Raw genomic sequence first — 17,949 nt, 5'->3', positions numbered from 1 at the left:
ACAGGCGTCCGCCACCATACCCAGCTAATTTCTGTATTTTTAGTAGAGATGGGGTTTCACCATGTTGGCCAGGCTGGTCTCAGACTACTGGCCTTAAGCGATCTGTCCACCTCGGCCTCCCAAAGTGCTGGGATTTCAGGCATGAGCCACCACACCAGCTAGTCACCAGTTTTTTTATTTTGCTGAGTTTGAGGTCATTAAAAGGAAATGTCAAAGGAAAGGTCCTTTTGTGCTCACACACACAGACACACACAGACACAGACACACACACACAGACACACACACGATTGAAAATACAAAGCTCAGATAAAAGGACAGTCTTTTGGATTGAGTAAACCTAGCTTTAGTAAAACCTCACTATATTGTCCTTATTTTTCTCATTTTGCTGCTGGCAGATGAGAACATGGCGATGGCTGGCACTGGGCACCGGCTGAGGGACTTGTGCTCCAGGAACTGTTGGTCTTGCCACTCCTCCGCCTGGGCCCAGTGCCAAGGGCAGCCAGCTCTGCTCCGGGGAACCCCTCCCCAGCACGTATCTCCCAATCTCTCATGCACCGGTCACTGCCACTTTTGCTTCTATCTTCCTGTCCTCCATGCCCCTCCCCCAATATTTGCAGGAGGGGGAAGGTGGGGAGCAGGCTTCACACAGCTCCCAGACTAAAGATGGCACCGCTAGCCGATCACTGCAGCCCAGAGTCCACCCATGGGGAAGTCACACGTCGCCCGCTCCTTGGAGGGGGTCTCTGCTGTGGAAGGTGCTGGTCTGGGCAGGGTCAAGAATTCCAGAGTGGCCACCGCTTCCTGGCCATGGGATCTGAGATGAGTCCCAGAACCTCCTTCCTTGAGCTTCAGCTTCTTGTTCTATAAAATGGGCATATTAACTCCTCATCACAGGGCTGGTGCAAGGGTGGTGTGAGTGACAGAATGTTTGTGAAAGTCCTTGCTGAGCTATAAAGCTTAGGTAGGGGTAGTTATTATTACGATGGGAAACTAGTAAATGGCTGAAGAAAGAGCAGCCCAAAAGCTGACCTCAGCCTCTGGGTACGAAGACAGTGCTCACACCCACCCCCAGGTCTGTGATCTGGGGCCCCTCCAGCCCCACAGAGGAGCAACGCCAGCCTGACCCCATGAGTCAGCAATGCCAGGGCTGGACCACGGCATTCTGGAAGTCGGAACTAGGCCTAGTCTGTGTTGGAGACAGGGTCTGCTGTGTTTTTGGAGAGAGGGTCTGCTTCTGTTGACTTGTAGTGGCCCCACTATGTGGTTATTGCAGCCGACGGCCCCTCAAATTGTAGAGAAGTGTGCGAAGGGCCTCCCCAAGGCGGAGCCCCTTTTGGATGGATGGAGGTTTGAGGATTCAAGGTGTTCGCGGAGGATCGGATTTTAAGGGCTGTCCCCGCCCCCGCTGTGTCACTGTGGGGCAGTGTGGGAAACACGCCCACCCATGTTCCTAGTCCAGTTCACCATTCACTCTAGCTGTGTGGCTGCCTCTCCCAGCCTCAGTTTCCTCATCTGTCAAATAGGGACAAGAGGCCTTACCTTCCAGGGCTGTTGTTAGCTTATTGGGACCCCATGCAACAGTCCCTGGAGGGTTTTCAGTCCAAGGGAGCCCCCTGCAGACCCTCCAGGAGGTCCTCCCCACAAAGGGAATCCAGCGGTCCTGAGGAAGCATGAGCCTGGGCTGCCTCCCCACCCAGAGTGGATCCCCCACCCAGCCGGCCTCCAGCGCCCTGCCCCCTCTCCCCACCTGCTCAGTAGTCTGGTCATGAAGTCATTGCCACCTTCCCCAGCCTGCACCCCCACCACCCCTGCCCCCATGCTGACATCCCATTTGGCAAAGAGGTTGGAAAAGCCGCTGACTCTTCCAGACCCTGAGTTCATTGACTGGTCAGGGCGCATCGGCCACAGGCTGACCATGTGGCCAGAGGGGGGTTTGCAGAGTGAGGGAGTGGCCCCTCCAGGCCTTCCTCCCCTGCCTCAAGCCTCCCCCTGACCACTAAGACACTCCTCCAATATCCGCCCACACCCCAACTATACATACCTGACCTACACACATGTGGCCCACCCCCTACACACTTGCTGCAGACACTCCTTACACCCCTCGTAAACACATGCCAAGCACACACTCCCCTGGGCAGCCACCTACCTACTGAGGCACACCCAGCACACCAGACTCCCACACATATGTGTATGTGCCACTCCCTCATACGCTGGTGTGAGCTGTTGGGCACCACCAGCTACCCACGGCCACAGCTACTCCTGGTCCACCATGGCCCAGCCTCTTGGGCTGCATCAGGCAGATGCACCTGGCCTGAGCCAGGCTCTGGTGGGAGGGTCTCTGGCCTGGGGGGGGTCTCTAGATCAGAGGCACAGGCGGCCAGACTTGAAACGCCTCATCTCAGCCAACCCCTTCACTGCTCATTTGTGGAAACTGAGGCCCAGAGAAGGCAAGGAGTGGTCAGGGGCTGGTCACGTCACACAGGCAAACTCCTCCCAAGCGCCTCCAAGTGTCTGAGAGCGTGGCAGAAAGGCGGGCAGCCCAGGCTCCCTCCGCCCTCAATGCGCTCCTCAAATGTCCTGACTCAGTGGGTCCTCTTCCATGAGTTCTTCCAGGATGACGCCCAAGACTGGGTGAGCTTTTCACCCTCTGCCCTGGGTGCAAGGTCATTTGAAGCTAGGCAGGGGGCACACCCACTGTTGGGCCTCAGCCTTCACAGGCTCAGGATGTTAGTGTCTCACATAGCCTTGGCCTTGCTCAGCAAATACCCAGCGCAGGCTGCAGTCCCACAATGCACTACAAGCCTGGCCCTCCCACTCCCTGCCTCAGTCTCCCTCCCTAAGACTCACCCATCAGGGCCCTCAGCAACTGCCTAGACTGTGGCTCCATCATGGGGCCCTAGGCTCCAGGGAAGGACTCTCTTTCCCTTGGACTGTCAGCTCCACAGGATAAGGATTTTTGCCTGGAAAGGTGCCTGGCACCTAGTAGGTGCCTTAAAAAAAAGCTGTTGAGGCTGGGCAACGTGGCTTATGCCTGTAATCCTAGCACTTTGGGAGGCCAAGGTGGATGGATCACAAGGTCAGGAGTTCGAGACCAGCCTGGCCAATATGGTGAAACCCCATCTCTACTAAAAATACAAAAATTAGCCAGGCATGGTGGTGGGCACCTGTAGTCCCAGCTACTCAGGAGGCTGAGGCAGCAGAATTGCTTGAACCCAGGAGGCGGAGGTTGCAGTGAGCTGAGATCACACCACTGCACTCCAGTCTGGGCGACAGAGCAAGACTCCGACTCAAAAAAAAAAAAAAGTTTTGAATGGTCCTGGCGTGCAGTGGCTCATGCCTGTAATCCCAACATTTTGGGAGGCCAAGGCAGGAGGATCGCTTGAGGCCAGAAGTTCAAGACCAGCTTGGGCAACATAGCAAGACCTCTACAAAAATGTTTACAATTAGCTGGGCATGGTGGCACATACCTGCAGTCCTAGCTACTCAGGCTGAGGCAGGAGGCTCACTTGAGCCTGGGAGTTTGAGGCTGCAGTGAGCTTTGATCCCACCACTGCACTCCAGCCTGGGTTGACAGAGCAAGACCCTGTCTCAAAAATAAATACATAAAATAAAAATGTGTTGAATGAATGGGCCAATCTTGCGACCCCAGCCTCCTTTCATGAGGCTTCTCCAGACCAGAATCAAGAGTTCTGGGAGCCGTTGGGAAAAACCATCAGGCAGGAGCCGGGGTCTGCCGTGGATGGCTGTGGGACCCCGACGCAACCACCTTCCCCTATGGCCTTCAGCTGCCATCGAGCAACGACGGCCTGGCTGTTGGAGGATGCGGTTTGCAGCCTGTGATTCTGGGACCACCTGTGCAGGTGCTGCCCCAACCAGGGCTGGCTGGCCCCCACTGGCTTGGGAGAGGGCACCCCTTTGGGCAGACACGGGCTGGGGAGCCCTATATTGTAAATAAGGCGGTCACTCAGAATAGACCAGGACATTGGCAACTCGGGAAGCCATCAAACACGAGTAGCTCCTGCTCCCCGCTTCCCCCCCACCCGCACTCCACCGCCCGCCACTCACATGTGGCGGGGCCGCCGCAGGAGCGCAGGGAGGCTCCGGGTCAACATCCTGCTTCCTGCAGGGCCTCCCGCGGGGCGGGCGGGGGAGGGCGCACAGAGGGGTGTTTGTTCGCAGCGGGCGGCGGGGAGGAGATAGATGCTAATCGCTGCGGATCGCCCGCCCCAGCTTAAGGTCAGGAGGTAACGCGACCCGCGGTTATAAATAACCGCTCAGGGCGGCGGCCGAGGGCAGCGCGCTGGACCCGCGCCCCTCGCCAGCCGCCGGGCCGGCTTGATTACTGCCCTCCCCGGCCCGACCGCGGGCACCTGAACGCCGACAGCAGAGCACGGCGACCTCTGGGGCTAGCGCGCAAGGTCAGACCAGGTCCAGGGCTTCCCTGCCCTCTGCGGGGACCCTGGAGCACCGACAGCCCCACCTCCCCACCTCCAAGCCCCACTCCCATCTCCCACCAGGGGCAAGAAGGTGGAGGGAGGCCAGCGGACACAACCCGAGGACCCAGGCGGCCTGCGCCTCCGCGCCAAGCCTGGGGGTGGCCGATGGCAAGGGAGGCCCGGAGTAACCCAGCCAGTGAGGGCCAGGCTGCAGCTAACACTGATCCTGCTTCTGGGGCCGACACAGGCCTGGTCTGTGATGGTGGGACTTACCAGAGCTTAGTGGAAAGAAAATCCCTGAGTCTGGGGCTTCAGGAGTCTCAGGCTGGGGAGGGACTCTGGTAGCACCCATGAGGGGACACGTGGTTGTGCCCCAGGGAGGCCAGCCACCTGCTCTCCACTTGCCCTTGGATAGAAAAGGGAGGTGGATTTAACCTGCTCCAGGAGACATGACTTTTATTTTTAAGACTTTTTAAAATTGAAGTTAAGCACACACACAGAACACTGCACAAATCAAAGTGTACAACTGAAAGAATTTGCACATGCTTTGCATACCTGTGCAACCAGCACCCAAATTAAAAAACAGCACCTCACCGGCACCCAGAAGCCCCTCGAGACCCCTTCCACCTACTGTTCCCGAGTCCAGCCTCTCTCCTGACTCAGCCCGCAGGCGCTCTGGCCTGCTTCTGAACTGTGTGTAGATGGAGCCATACAGTGGGTGCCGTTTTGCGTCTGGTTTCTTTTGCTGCATATTATGTTTGTGAGGTTTGTCAGTACTCTCACAGGCAGTCAAGGGCTGTTCGTACCCATTGCTGGTGGCTTGCCATTGTGTGGCTCTGTTAAAATGTATTCACCCATGTTACTGCTAATGGACATTTGGGGAGGTTCCAGTTCCTGGCTATGGTGAATAGTGCCACTATGAACATTCTAGTTCCTGTGTATTGTGAACATATGAATGCATTTCTGTTGGGTGAATACCCAGGGCAGGGATGACGGGGCCCGGCTGTGTGTCTGCTCAGCTTTGGAAGATACAGGAATGTTACTTTTTAATCATTTCAGTAAGAATGATTTTTCAAGGTAAGTTTTTGTTTTCCATTCTATTTAAAAACAAAAAATGATAGTGGCTCATGCCTGTAATCGCAGCACTTCGGGAGGCCGAGGTGGGCGGATCACTTGAAGCCAGGAGTTCAAGACCAGCCTGACCAACATGGTGAAACCCTCTCTCCACAAAAATACAAAAATTGGCCGGATATGGTGGGCACCTGTAATCCCAGCTACTTGGGAGGCCGAGGCACGAGAATCGCTTGAACCTGGGAGGTAGAGGTTGCAGTAAGCCAAGATCACGCCATTGCTCTCCAGCCTGGGGGATAGAGCGAGACTCTATATCAAAAAAGAAAGAAAGAAAGAAAGAAAAATTAGCCAGGTGTGGTGATGCAATCTGTGGTCTCAGCTACTTTGAGGCTGAGGTAGGAGGATCACTTGAAGCTGGGAGGTTGAGGTTGAAGTCAGCCATTGCACCACTGCACTCCAGCCTGGGTGACAAAGTTTGCCCCCTGTCTCCAAAAAAAAAAAAAAAAGATGGACATTATTTACAGCTGCTGTTTAGAGTGACCCATTCAACCATTCAACAGATAAGAGCCTAAGAGCCTCTTCCCTGGCAGATACTGGACAAGAGAGAGACCCAGTTCTTCTAGAGCCTGGGGACAAGTGGCGACAGCAGGGGCGTCACTGAGGGAAGGACCAGGGAGTCTCAGCACACCCCGTGATCCTCATCAGCCACCCCTTACCCACCGCAGCTGCTCCTCACCCACAAACATCCAAACTGAGACCCAGAGGACTTCCCATGCAACCGGGACTCAGGGCAGAGGCTAAGGCCTCCGTCCAGGCAGGCTGCACACGGGAACTCGAAATGGGCAGTCTGGATGGCAGTAACACAATGCATCACAATCAAGTAAGAAGAGGGCTGAGAGAGGAGGAGCAGGTGCTGTGGGCACAAGGGGCTGGCGGCAGGTATGTGGCTGAGTCAGACAGGAGGCTCAGCAGGAGGAGCCCAGGAGGGAGCAGGAGCGTGGAGACAGGGTAGGGGCAGATGGCTCTGGACTCTGGACCTAATCCTGAGGGCCAATGAAGGGGGTTAAGCCTGGGAGTGAGCAGATCAGACGTGCTTTTTTAGCAAGATCATTCTGGATCTCTGTGGAAACTGCCTTGTGGTGATGAGAGCAAACCCTGAGACCACTGGGGTCCCTGAGCTGATAAGCACCAAGGCAGTGGGCCGGAGAGAGGAGAGATGTTTAAGAGGTGTCCTGGGTTGGGTGCGGTGGCTCACGCCTGTAATCCCAGCACTTTGGGAGGCCGAGGCAGGTGGAACATTTGAGGCCAGGAGTTCAAGACCAGCCTGGCCGATATGGCAAAACCTCATCTCTACTAAAATACAAAAATTAGCTGAGTGTGGTGGTGGGCACCTGTAATCCCAGCTACTTGGGAGTCTGAGGCATGAGAATCGCTTGAACCTGGGAGATGGATGTTGCAGTGAGCCGAGATCATGCCATTGCACTCCAGCCTGGCAACAGACCAACACTCTATCTCAAAAATTAAAAAATAAAAATAAAAGAGGTGTCCTGGAAGGACCTGGGGCATAGCAGGCTCTGGGGAATGGGGGAAGAGGAGGCATCAGGAAGGTGTGAGGAATGGATTGGGGAAGACATGGTAAAATTACAGATTTGGGAGAAAGGAGTCATTCGCTCGCAGAGGTTTTGGTGAATTTCCTTCCCATGTTCCCATGTTTCTTTTTTTTTTCTTTTTTAAGACAGAGTCTCACTCTGTCACTGAGGCTGGAGTGCAATGGCACGATCTCGGCTCACTGCAACCTCTGCCTCCCGGGTTCAAGTGATTGTCCTGCCTCAGCCTCCCGAGTAGCTGGGATTACAGGTGCACGTTACCACGCTTAGCTAATTTTTTGTATTTTAAGTACAGACAGGGTTTCACCATGTTGGCCAGGCTGGTCTCGAACTCCTGGCCTCAAGTGATCCGCCCACCTTGGCCTCCCAAAGTGCTAAGATTACAGGCGTGGGCCACTGCGCCCGGTGTCCTTCCCATCTTTCGTGTGATAGGTTCCACTTTGGTCTCAGAACTTCTGAGAGCCAAATTGTTTGGGCCTGAGGAGGACAGCCAGGCCCAACCAATTTCCCTCAGCCAGCCCTAGGGAACTGTAGAAGGTGAGGCATGGCCATGCATTCATTCAAAGGTATCCATGGAGTCCACACCTGCTGGAGCTTGTTCCAGGTGCCGGGATGCGTTGGTGGACAAAACAAATGCCTGGTCCTCAGGGAGCTTCTACTCCAGTGGGGAAGCGTTAATACTTATATAAGCCTAGCCAATATGGCAAAGCCCCGTCTCTACTAAAAATACAAAAATTAGCCGGGCGTGGTGGCACATACCTGTAGTCCCAGCTACTCAGGAGGCTGAGGCATAAGAATTGCTTGAACCTGGGAGGTGGAGGATACAGTGAGCTAAGATCGCACCACTGCACTCCAGCCTGGGCAACAGAGGGAGACCTTATCTAAATATATATATATATGTGTGTGTGTGTGTGTGTGTGTGTGTGTATGTGTATATATATATATGTATATATAAAGTGGTGTAAGTCTTAAGAAAAAGTAAGCTGGGGAAGGGAACAGTGGCAGTGGTGGGAGGAGTCTGTTTCAGATTGGGTGGGCAGGGCAGCCTCTCTGAAGAGACTTCAGCACTGACCTGAAAGAAGCAAAGGAGCAAGGCACCTGCTGGGCAGAGCAGGCCGGGCGGAGGGCACAGCAAGTGCAGAGGCCCTGTGGCAGCTGTGAGCCTGCTTGGGCTGCTGGAGGAGCGGCAGGGAGGCCGCTGTGGGAGGACTGAAGGGAGGACTGCAGACCAGAGGGCAGACTCGGTGGCCCGAGAGGGGGCCTTTCACTCTAGGGAAGGGAGAGGGTTTCTGAAGCGATGGCCTCATCTGGGTTTTGTTTGAGAAGGGTCATTCTGGCTGCTCTGAGAACAGACTGTAGAGGACGGAAGTGGGAGGAGGCCCTTCCAGAGGCACAGGTCAGAGAGAGGGGTGGCCTCGACGAGGGTGGAGGCATCAGCGAGGGAAGAGGGGGAGCCCCCGGCATGGCTGGTGGACACAGCATGGGCTGGTGGACTAGATGTGGCATGTGAGAGACAGATAGGTGGCAAGAAGGACCCCTGCTGTCAGCTGCCCCTTCACCAGGCTGTGGGACCAGGACACAGCTCAGGACACCAGCCTCTTCCTACCTCCCCTCACCTCTGGACTCTCCCCTCCTCCTCCCTCTCCTTGTCTTCTGTCCTGTCCCCTGGCCTCTCTTCCCTCACCCCCTTCTCCCCCTCCTCCTCTCCTGTCCATTCCTCCTGTTTCGGGAGTCCAGTGACCTGGTGCTGTCACTTCCCAAAGGTCAGAGAGGCTGCCCTCTGGATATGGCCTTGTGCCTTTTTTCACTCAGCAGTTTTGATGACTGTGGCCAGGACCCAGAGGCTGGGAGCGGAAGAAAAAGTAGGTGTGGCCCCCAAGTTCTGGCCTGGGGAGCAGCTCAGATGGAGGGAAAGCCCAGTCCCCATCCTGGGGCCTCTCCATGCCCTGAGCCCTGGGTGCTTGCGGGGCACCCCCATGCAGAGCAAGGCGGGGGGTCCTTGGGAAGCTGACCAAGAGCCGCATGCAGCGTCTGCTCCACCTGCCGGGACTTGGGGCCAGGTTTTCTCAAAGCTGCCCCCTCTCCCCATGTAGTTACAGGCTGGCTCCTTGGTCAAGATCCTGTGTTGGATTCAGCCTAAGCCCACAGGTGTACATCCATTGCCTGGAGACACCTGTGTCGGGGAACAGGGCTGAGCTGGGAGCCTGTTCTCATGTTATCCCTCCAGCCCACCCTCTCCCCTGAACTCCAGACCTACACGGCCACAAACTCAGCGTCTCTGCTTGGATGGATGATGGGCATCTCAAACTTAATGTGTCCACCATGTGAGCTCCTCCAGTCTTCCCCCAGTGTGACTAATCCCAACTGCCTCCTTCCAGATGATCAGGCAAAACCTTAGCACCCCCCACCCCCTCTCACCCAGCATCCAAGCTGTCAGAAAATGCTGTTGGCTCTGCCTTCAGAAACTGAGCCCCTCACCCAACCTCCATTGCTATCATCCAGTCTAAGCCAACATCCTCACTCATTAGATTCTTAAAATAGCATCGGCCCTTGCCCCTTCATGCTATCCCCAGCATGGTAGCCAAAGTGGTTTTATTAAAAAGTGAGTTGATAGTGTCACTTGTCTGCTTCCTCTGCAGTCTAAGGCAACGCCGAGGTCCTGTCGGGCGGCCCCTCTGTCATCTGCTCCTGCCCCACCTCTCCAACACCATCTCTTTCCACGGCCCATTTGCTCCAGCCTCACTGGCCTCTGTTCCTTGACTACGCAGTGCACATGTCGGCCTTGGGGCCTTTGCACCTGCTGCCCTGCTGGCTATTTTTCTGGTGGGAAGCAGGTGGCTTGGGCAGGCCTCTGGGGTACCCAGTATGTTGGAGGAGGGAAGGCTGTGGGGTGGCAGGGGAGGGAGCAAGGGGTATCCCTTCTTCCTGAAGTCCCCTCCTTGAAGCTCCCCACAGTTTGTCCCTCACCTTCTTTACATCTTCATTCACGTGTTATCTTCTCAGAAGAGCCTTCACTAACCACCATGTTAAAAAGTAAAGATCAGGCTGGGCACAGTGGCTCACGCCTGTAATCCCAGCACTTTGGGAGACCGAGGTGGGCGGATCACCTGAGGTCAGGAGTTCGAGACCAGCCTGGCCAACATGGCAAAACCCCGTTTCTACTAAAAATACAAAAAAAAAACCCCCAAAAATTAGCCAGGCGTGGTGGCGGGCGCCTATAATCCCAGCTACTCAGGAGGCTGAGGCAGGAGAATCGCTTGAACCCGGGAGGCCGAGGTTGCAGTGAGCTGAGATCGCACCGTTGGACTCCAGCCTGGGCAACAAGAGCAAAACTCTGTCTCAAAACAACAACAAAAAGATCACACCTAGTACCTTGGTTTCTAATACCATTCTTCAGTGAAAGGATCCGGGGCTCCTGGGAGAGATGGCTGATTCCAGGACTGGGACAGGAGCATCGTGTAGTGTCAGAGAGTAAGGAAGGGCTCAAAAAGAAAAGAACCACATTGGTGCTGGAGAGAGGGGTATCAAAGGGATGAAGGAGCCGACTGAAAGAGCTGCCAACAACCAAACGCTGCAACAATTGAGCAGTAAAATGAAGTAGTAGTATAACCCAAGTGTAAAATAAATATCCATGAGTCCATTATAAATAAGCGCTTGGATTAATTAATAAATGGGGGAGAAGACACACACAAAAAAACCCACGCAGAAGAATTTCAAATAATTTATGTCGTTTTTTTTTTTTTTTTGAGATGGGATCTCACTCTGTTGCCGGACTGGAGTGCAGTGGCACAATCTCAGCTCACTGCAACCTCCACCTCCTGGGTTCAAGCGATTCTCCTGCCTCAGTCTCCCAAGTAGCTGGGATTACAGGCGCCCACCACCACGCCCAGCTAATTTTTGTATTTTTGGTAGACACAAGGTTTCACCATGTTGGCCAGGAGGGTCTCCATCTCTTGACCTCAGGTGATCCGCTCGCCTCGACCTCCCAAAGTGCTGGGATTACAGGCATGAGCCACTGCACCAGGCCAATTTATGTCACTATTTCACCCTAAATGAGTTGGGGCTGAAAGCATAAGTCCCAGGCCTTATGTGTGGCTGCACTTAGTGACTTCCTCCCAAAGAGTACAGTGTGGAACGGGAGAAGGGGGCTCATTCTGCGGTGCAGAAACCCAGCGGATACCCGTGATAAAGTCAGCATCTTTGTAACTCCAGTTGATAGGACCTCTGATAGGATACATGATGAAAACGGCACCTCGGCTTTGTGATCAGACACCCAAAAACCCATAACCCCTGTCTAAACATGAGAACAACACGAAACAAATTCCAGTATAGCAGTATCCTCCAAGACACCAAACCAGGACTTCTCAAAACTGTCAGGGTCATCAAAATATTTTCATCAAAATAAAAGTCCGAGAAGTGGTCACAGCCAAGAGGAGCCTCAGGAGGCAAGACAATGACAACGACGTAGAATGTGAGATCCTGGATGGGATCCTGGAACAGAAAAAGGACATTAGGTAAACCCAGAAAATCTAAATAAACTATAGACTTTGGTAAATAATAGTGTATCAAGGCCTGGTGCAGTGGCTCATGTCTATAATCCCAGCACTCTGGGAGGCCAAGGCGAGAGGATTGCTTGAGCCCAGGAATTCTAGACCAGCCTGGGCAACTCCTATCTCTACAAAACCCTATCTCTACAAAAAATACAAAAATTAGCCAGGTGTGGTGGTGCATACCTGTGGTCCCAGCTACTCTGGAGGCTGAGGCAGGAGGATGGCTTGAGCCTAGAAGGTCGAGTTTGCAGTGAGCCATTACCGCACCACCACATAGACAGAGCAAGACTCTGTCTCTAATAATAATAATAATAATAATAATAATAATGTATCAATATTGGTTCATTCATTGCAACAAATGTACCATACTAATGTAAGTTGTCACTGATGAGAGAAACTGCATGCAGGAGGAGGGAGGATTTGGGGGTAACTATGTTGTCTTCTTTTTTTTTTTTTTTTAATAGCTCTTCAAGAATTTATTTTATTTATTTTTTTGTTGTGTAATCTTTTTTTTTATTATTATACTTTAAGTTTTAGGGTACATGTGCACAATGTGCCGGTTAGTTACATATGTATACATGTGCCATACTGGTGTGCTGCACCCATTAACTCATCATTTAGCACTAGGTATTTCTCCTAATGCTATCCCTCCCCCCTCCCCCCACCCCACAACAGTCCCCAGAGTGTGATGTTCCCCTTCCTGTGTCCATGTGTTCTCATTGTTCAGTTCCCATCTGTGACATATTGTCTTCTTAATTTTTCTGTAAAACTGGAACTGAGCTTAAAAAATTGAATCTATTAAAAATTACAGCCCCCAACCCACAATTCTCAAACCCAAACCAGCCTTTTCCCATTGTACTTAACACCATTTATACTTAACACAATTTACACCATTTAACTTTTTTTTTTTTTTTTGAGACAAGGTCTCACTCTGTCACCCAGGCTGGAGTGCAGTGGCTCGATCTCGGCTCACGGCAGCCTTTAACTCCCAGGATCGAGTAACTCTCTCACCTCAGCCCCCCAAGTAGCTGGGACTACAAGCATGAACCACCACACTCGGCTAATTTTTGTATTTTTAGCAGAAATGGCATTTCATTGTGTTGCTCAAGCTGGTCTCCAACTCCTGGACTCAAGCAATCTGCCCATCTCGGCCTCTCAAAGTGCTGGGATTACAGGTCTGAGCCACTGCGCCTGGCTAATTGACTATATATTGAACTCGTATATTTTGTTTATTGCCTGTTAACTCTCTAGAATATAAGCTTCTTAAAGGGTTTTGTCTCTTCACTACTGTATGCCCAGCACCTAAAACAATCTGACCAATAGCAGGTACTCAGTAAATATTTGTTGAATGGTACATTTCTAAAGATAGTCACTGTTGGTTTTTCCAGTTTTTTCCCTCTGCCTAAATATATTTATTACTGTTCTCAAATAAACACGATTATAATGTTTTGCTTATCTGCTCTTTTCACTTAATAGCACCTGATTATTTTTCCTTGTTATTGTTTTACCTCATTTTCTAGGCCATGCTGGTGTTTGCGAGCCTAACAAATGGTTGTGATTCAAGAGGCGAAGGCTCTGGGCGCCTCTTGCTCCCTGCCGGCTCCACCACAGTGCCATGTGGGCAGGGGATGGAGTCATGCCAAGGCCTGGCCAAGGCCACTCCCGCCCTCTGACATCAGATTGTGGGCACTAGATCCCGCTTGGTGGTGAACCGGGTGCGTCAGAACCCAGGGATTAAATAGCTTTCGAAATCCATCGGCTTGTCCTTGACCAGCCAGAGGGCCAGGGCACGTGCCCAGACCTCCTGCCAGCTCAGGGATAGGGGAAAACACCATCCATGCACACATTCGAGGCAGCTGCAGAGAGCCGCCCACAGTGGGTCACAGCCCAGGCCCAAGACTGATGGTCCTGGCCCAAAGTGCTCTGGAGACCTGAGCTCCCGAGACGGGGGTTGGTTGGAGGCTGGGGGCTGTCAGAACCTCTCTCCAGGCACCCAGCTAGGGGCTGAGGAATCTGCTCTGCCAGCTGTTTTCACAGTGGGAAGCAGGTGGCTTGCACAGGCCTTTGGGGGACCCCATATGTTGAGGTAGGAAACGCTGTGGTGTGGCGGGGGAGGGAGCAAGGGGTATCCTTCCTCTGCACCCAGGGGCCATCTGCTTTCAAATCCAGCCACTTGTCCTCCTTCCTGGTAGCAATATGGAGCCACCCAGACTCTGCTAGACATATGAGTGCTAAAGATAAAAATACTCAAAGGACATATGCCTTCTGTGAACTGCTTTACTCAACGTGCTTGGGAGTCCTTCAGCTTCCCTCTAAAACACAGTGTCACTCCCACCCCCACTGGCCCCACCTCCGCAAAGAGGCAGGGAAGCTGTTATGGCCTTAGACACGCTGTGCTTGTGAATGCGTAGTGTGTGGATGCAGGTGCGTGCTCTGAGCATGCGCCTGCACCTGTCTTCCGCATGCACACCCCAGTGCGTGTACGCGAGTGTTGATGTGTGATGCGCTGAGTGCATGTCTGTGTGTGCTCCGGCTCATGTGTGTGGATATGCGTGCCTCCATCTGTGTTTCCATGTGTTTTGTATGGGTTTGCCTTGGCAGGTGGGTCTGTGTGGGCACACACCTGGGGGTGTGCATGGGTGTGTGCTTTGCTGTATGCGAGTGTGCCCATGAGGAGATATGTTCTTCCATGTGTGCTTGTGTGTGTTTCATGTGAGCACATGCTTGTATGTGAGCTTTTTGTATGTGTACCTTTGGGTATGTGCCTAGGTAGGTGCACATATGTGCATGAGCCCAGGTGTCAAACTCCGAGAAAAGAGATGAATGTTAGTCCCACACCTGCTCTGTTGATGGGCTTTCCCCACCCCCTACCCACCTGCATTCTATTAGCAGGACTGGTCTTTAAACAAATCTCTCACAGGTGAGGTGGCCTCCACTTTTCTCACACCTTCTTATACAGTCATGCACCTCATAACGTTTCAGTCAACTACAGACTGCAGCTAAAGTGGTGGGCCCATACGATTATTATTATTATTATTATTTTTGAAACAGAGTCTTGCTTGTGTCGCCCAGGCTGGAGTGCCCTGGCACAACCTCGGCTCACTGCAACCTCTGCCTCCTGGGTTCAAGCTATTCTCCTGCCTCAGCCTCCTGAGTAGCTGGGATTACAGGCACCCGCAACCATACCCAGCTAATTTTTTGTATTTTTAGTAGAGACAGGGTTTCACCATGTTATTCAGGCTGGTCTTGAACTCCTGACCTCAAGTGATCCACCTGCCTCAGCCTCCCAAAGTGCTGGGAGTATAGGCATGAGCCACTGTGCCCAGCCCCACAAGATTATAATACTGTATTTTAACTCTACCTTTTCTATGTATAGATATGTTTAGATACACAAATACTTACTATTGTGCCACAATTGCCTACAGTATTCAGTACAGTAACAAGCTCTCTGAGTGTGTAGCCTGGGAGCAGTAGCCTGGGTGTGTGGTAGTCCATACTACCATCTGGGTTTGTGTAAGTGCACTCTATGATGTTCATACAATGACGAAATTGCCTGAGGACACATTTCTCAGGACATATCCCCCTTGTTGAGTGATGCAGGACAGTGCTTACTCATCCTCCTCTTTTTTTTTTTTCCAAGATAGAGTCTTGCTGTGTCACCCAGGCTGGAGTGCAGTTGTGCAATCTTGGCTCACTGCAACCTCCACCTCCCGGATTCAAGCGATTCTCCTGCCTCAGCCTCCTGAGTAGCTGGGATTACAGGCACCCACCACCACGTCCAGCTAATTTTTGTATTTTTAGTAGAGATGGGATTTCACCATGTTGGCCATGCTGGTCTCGAACTTCTGACCTCGTGATCCACCCGCCTCGGCTTCCCAAAGTGCTGGGATTACAGGTGTGAGCCACTGCACCAGGCCTCATCCTCCTCTTAAGTTTTCCCAAACTCTGTCTGCGATGGTCCTGCACCCTCAGTGCTTGTTTCCCACCTTCATTGGCTCAGTGTTTTTGGAGCCCTCTAGCCCTGTGAGATGCTCTGGAAGGAAAGGGCTCCTGAGTCCGTGGGTTTCTAGTAAAAGTTGCACTCATTACACCTTCATGGAGACTCATCATGTACCCCAGCATAGGAAAGGTCCTGAGAAGTCCTAAAGTAAAGAAACCTGCTTAAGTTAGTTCATCACAGGGGTTCCTGCAATTCTTGGCTATTAGAACCTGATTTGAAGGTATAACGCCTTGTCAGAATCCGTGCTCCTCGGCGCGCACCCGGGGAAGTCTGTGGTGTGCTGTGGGAGATGGCTCCCTGTGTTCAAGCGGCCTCTTCTCTGCTTCTCCAGCAACTGTGCGGATATTTCCAAGTGTCTGGCTGATGAGGGCCACGCACATAGGCTGGGCCTATCTCAGGGATGGGGGGTACCTCGTGGCTTGAGAATCAATCCTGGCTCTCTGCATCTGGGGCCCACAGGGAGCCTGGCCTCGCCCAGAGAAGCCACGTCAAGGGGCACATCTCCAGAACTGGCTAAGGTGAGGCCTCACACCCAGCCCCGCAGCCTCGGAGCCAGCCAGGGTCCATTGGCTCCTCCTCGCACTGGTCCTGGCCTGGCTGTCAGGGCAGAGGATGCCACCAGTCTCAAGACCCAGAGTGGCCGCAGGAACAAGGGAGACTCTGCCATTTGAGCCAATGCTCCAGGGACTAGAAGCCTGGGTTCTGACTCCAGGGCCCTTGCTCTGCCCTCAGCGTCTGCCCTCCCAGGCCCAGTACCCATGCCTCCCTCAGCCCTAAGACTTCCAGTGGCCTCCTGATGGTCAGAGGCCCTCAGAACACTGTGGTCGGGCATCCTGAAGCCCCAGCCTGGGGTCGGGGATCGGGGGCAGAAGCCTTGCAGCCAGTCCCACTCCTGATCTGACCACTGCTTCCAGAGAATTACAGGGTCAGGAAGGCCCCTGCTATCCCGTCCCTCATACCATTAAAATCAGATACTTAAAATTATGCAAGAAATACATGAACAGCGTCTCTTCAGATGATTCAGACAATACAGAAGTGGGGTAAAAACACTGAAGTCTGTTTTGCTTCTCACCAGCCCATGGATTTTTAAAAACTCAAGTTGAACCATATTCTGTATTTTTCTATTTTTCAATGACTTTATTTCTTAAAGAAATTTAACAATCTGATACATGTTAATACATCTTGATCTACCTTGTTTTTTTTTTAAAACTCATCTACACAATATTCCAGGGTGTTGATGTCTCCCTTATTTCTCTCTCTTCTCTCTCTCTCTCTCTCTCTCTCTCTCTCTCTCTCTGTCTCTCTCTCATCTTCCTTTTGCCACCCAGGCTGGAATGTAGTGGTGTGATCACAGCTCACTACAGCCTGGATTCAGCACACAGGAATCAGAGTCAGAATCAGAAAAAAAACAAGGAGGAAGCTGAGGTTCCAAGAGGTCACCCAGGCAGCTGCGACCAGAACGGTCCCCCGCGTCTCTGGGCGCCCCAGGCCGGCCCTTGTTCGCTCGGCCCCTGCCGGGACCTGCGCTCCCCGGGGCCATCCCGGGCCCTCCCGAGCTCCGGGCGGGTCCAGCCCCCACCTCCTGCGGCCCCCGCGGCTGCAGAGCTGCCCGCGCCTCGGAGGAACCAAAAAAAGCCGGCGCGTGGTGCACGCGCGAGCGGCGCTGGGCCCTGGCGCTGCCGTTTTTAGTGTGCCTGTAGCCCAGAATATAGACTTCATCACCCCCAGGAAACGCGGCCATAATATTTTTGGTTGCATAAGCAAACGAAATTAGAAACCTGGAACGCGTTCAAGACCTTTAGATGCGAGCGCTCGGCAGCGCGGGGGACCAGAGAGGAGACAGATGGGGATTAGGCGAGTTGAGCATCAGGACAATAATTTCCTCTTTTAATTTGGGTTTCATCGACAAGTAAAACAGCATTAGCCGCCCGGTTACGTAACCGGCGCCACAGCCGGCTCTGATAAGCGGCCGCAGCGAGCCAGGCGGGCCCTGCTGCCCCTGCACCTCCTGCCCGGACGGCGGAGGGAGGGCGGGCTGAGGCGGGCCTGCGGGCCTCACCAAGTCAGCCGCCGCGGGGCTGCTAAGCAGGGCTATTGTTAGCTCGGCTCGTCACAGCCGTTCTCAGAGAGCTCCAGTGCGTTGGCTCAGGCCTCACAGCCCGCAATTTGCAGGCAGGAGGATTTGCACTCCTTGCTTGCTTGAAAGAGCTTGCTTGAAAGAGGCTCTCTAGGACGCAGGAATGGAGTGTCCCCCAGCCCTGCAATTCCGTGGAGCGCTGAACACG

At 53.1% G+C, this 17,949-nt stretch overlaps 1 protein-coding gene across 1 annotated transcript, besides 9 other annotated features; it reads left to right on the top strand.

The window, feature by feature from the left end:
• Positions 3,279 to 4,161: an enhancer, noted in NCBI's record as "H3K4me1 hESC enhancer chr17:49022110-49022992 (GRCh37/hg19 assembly coordinates)". NCBI's record gives its function as "activates a minimal SCP1, AML or CMV promoter by ChIP-STARR-seq in primed H9 embryonic stem cells {active_cell/tissue: H9 hESC(primed)}" and the evidence as "EXISTENCE:reporter gene assay evidence [ECO:0000049][PMID:30033119]".
• Positions 3,740 to 5,517, top strand: LOC124904102 (uncharacterized). Its single transcript, XM_047437263.1, has 2 exons — positions 3,740 to 3,860; positions 4,279 to 5,517. Exons 1-2 carry the CDS (start codon positions 3,740 to 3,742, stop codon positions 4,779 to 4,781), a joined length of 624 nt encoding a protein of 207 aa, XP_047293219.1. The 3' UTR covers positions 4,782 to 5,517.
• Positions 4,089 to 4,148: a silencer, noted in NCBI's record as "silent region_8720". NCBI's record gives its function as "represses an Ori minimal core promoter by ATAC-STARR-seq in GM12878 lymphoblastoid cells {active_cell/tissue: GM12878}" and the evidence as "EXISTENCE:reporter gene assay evidence [ECO:0000049][PMID:35858748]".
• Positions 4,159 to 4,208: a silencer, noted in NCBI's record as "silent region_8719". NCBI's record gives its function as "represses an Ori minimal core promoter by ATAC-STARR-seq in GM12878 lymphoblastoid cells {active_cell/tissue: GM12878}" and the evidence as "EXISTENCE:reporter gene assay evidence [ECO:0000049][PMID:35858748]".
• Positions 4,159 to 5,045: a biological region, named in NCBI's record as "H3K4me1 hESC enhancer GRCh37_chr17:49021226-49022109".
• Positions 4,162 to 5,045: an enhancer, noted in NCBI's record as "H3K4me1 hESC enhancer chr17:49021226-49022109 (GRCh37/hg19 assembly coordinates)". NCBI's record gives its function as "activates a minimal SCP1, AML or CMV promoter by ChIP-STARR-seq in naive H9 embryonic stem cells {active_cell/tissue: H9 hESC(naive)}" and the evidence as "EXISTENCE:reporter gene assay evidence [ECO:0000049][PMID:30033119]".
• Positions 4,269 to 4,328: a silencer, noted in NCBI's record as "silent region_8718". NCBI's record gives its function as "represses an Ori minimal core promoter by ATAC-STARR-seq in GM12878 lymphoblastoid cells {active_cell/tissue: GM12878}" and the evidence as "EXISTENCE:reporter gene assay evidence [ECO:0000049][PMID:35858748]".
• Positions 13,909 to 14,129: a silencer, noted in NCBI's record as "fragment chr17:49012142-49012362 (GRCh37/hg19 assembly coordinates)". NCBI's record gives its function as "represses an EF-1alpha promoter that drives an FKBP-Casp9 reporter gene in an ReSE screen in phorbol 12-myristate 13-acetate-treated (for megakaryocytic differentiation) K562 erythroleukemia cells {active_cell/tissue: K562(+PMA)}" and the evidence as "EXISTENCE:reporter gene assay evidence [ECO:0000049][PMID:32094911]".
• Positions 17,056 to 17,385: a silencer, noted in NCBI's record as "silent region_8717". NCBI's record gives its function as "represses an Ori minimal core promoter by ATAC-STARR-seq in GM12878 lymphoblastoid cells {active_cell/tissue: GM12878}" and the evidence as "EXISTENCE:reporter gene assay evidence [ECO:0000049][PMID:35858748]".
• Positions 17,606 to 17,805: a silencer, noted in NCBI's record as "silent region_8716". NCBI's record gives its function as "represses an Ori minimal core promoter by ATAC-STARR-seq in GM12878 lymphoblastoid cells {active_cell/tissue: GM12878}" and the evidence as "EXISTENCE:reporter gene assay evidence [ECO:0000049][PMID:35858748]".

This window comes from Homo sapiens, chromosome 17 (genome assembly GCF_000001405.40).
Source record: "Homo sapiens chromosome 17, GRCh38.p14 Primary Assembly".
Classification (NCBI taxonomy): domain Eukaryota; kingdom Metazoa; phylum Chordata; class Mammalia; order Primates; family Hominidae; genus Homo; species Homo sapiens.
Note: the sequence above shows the minus strand (reverse complement) of the source record. Positions and strands in the feature narration are given on the sequence as shown.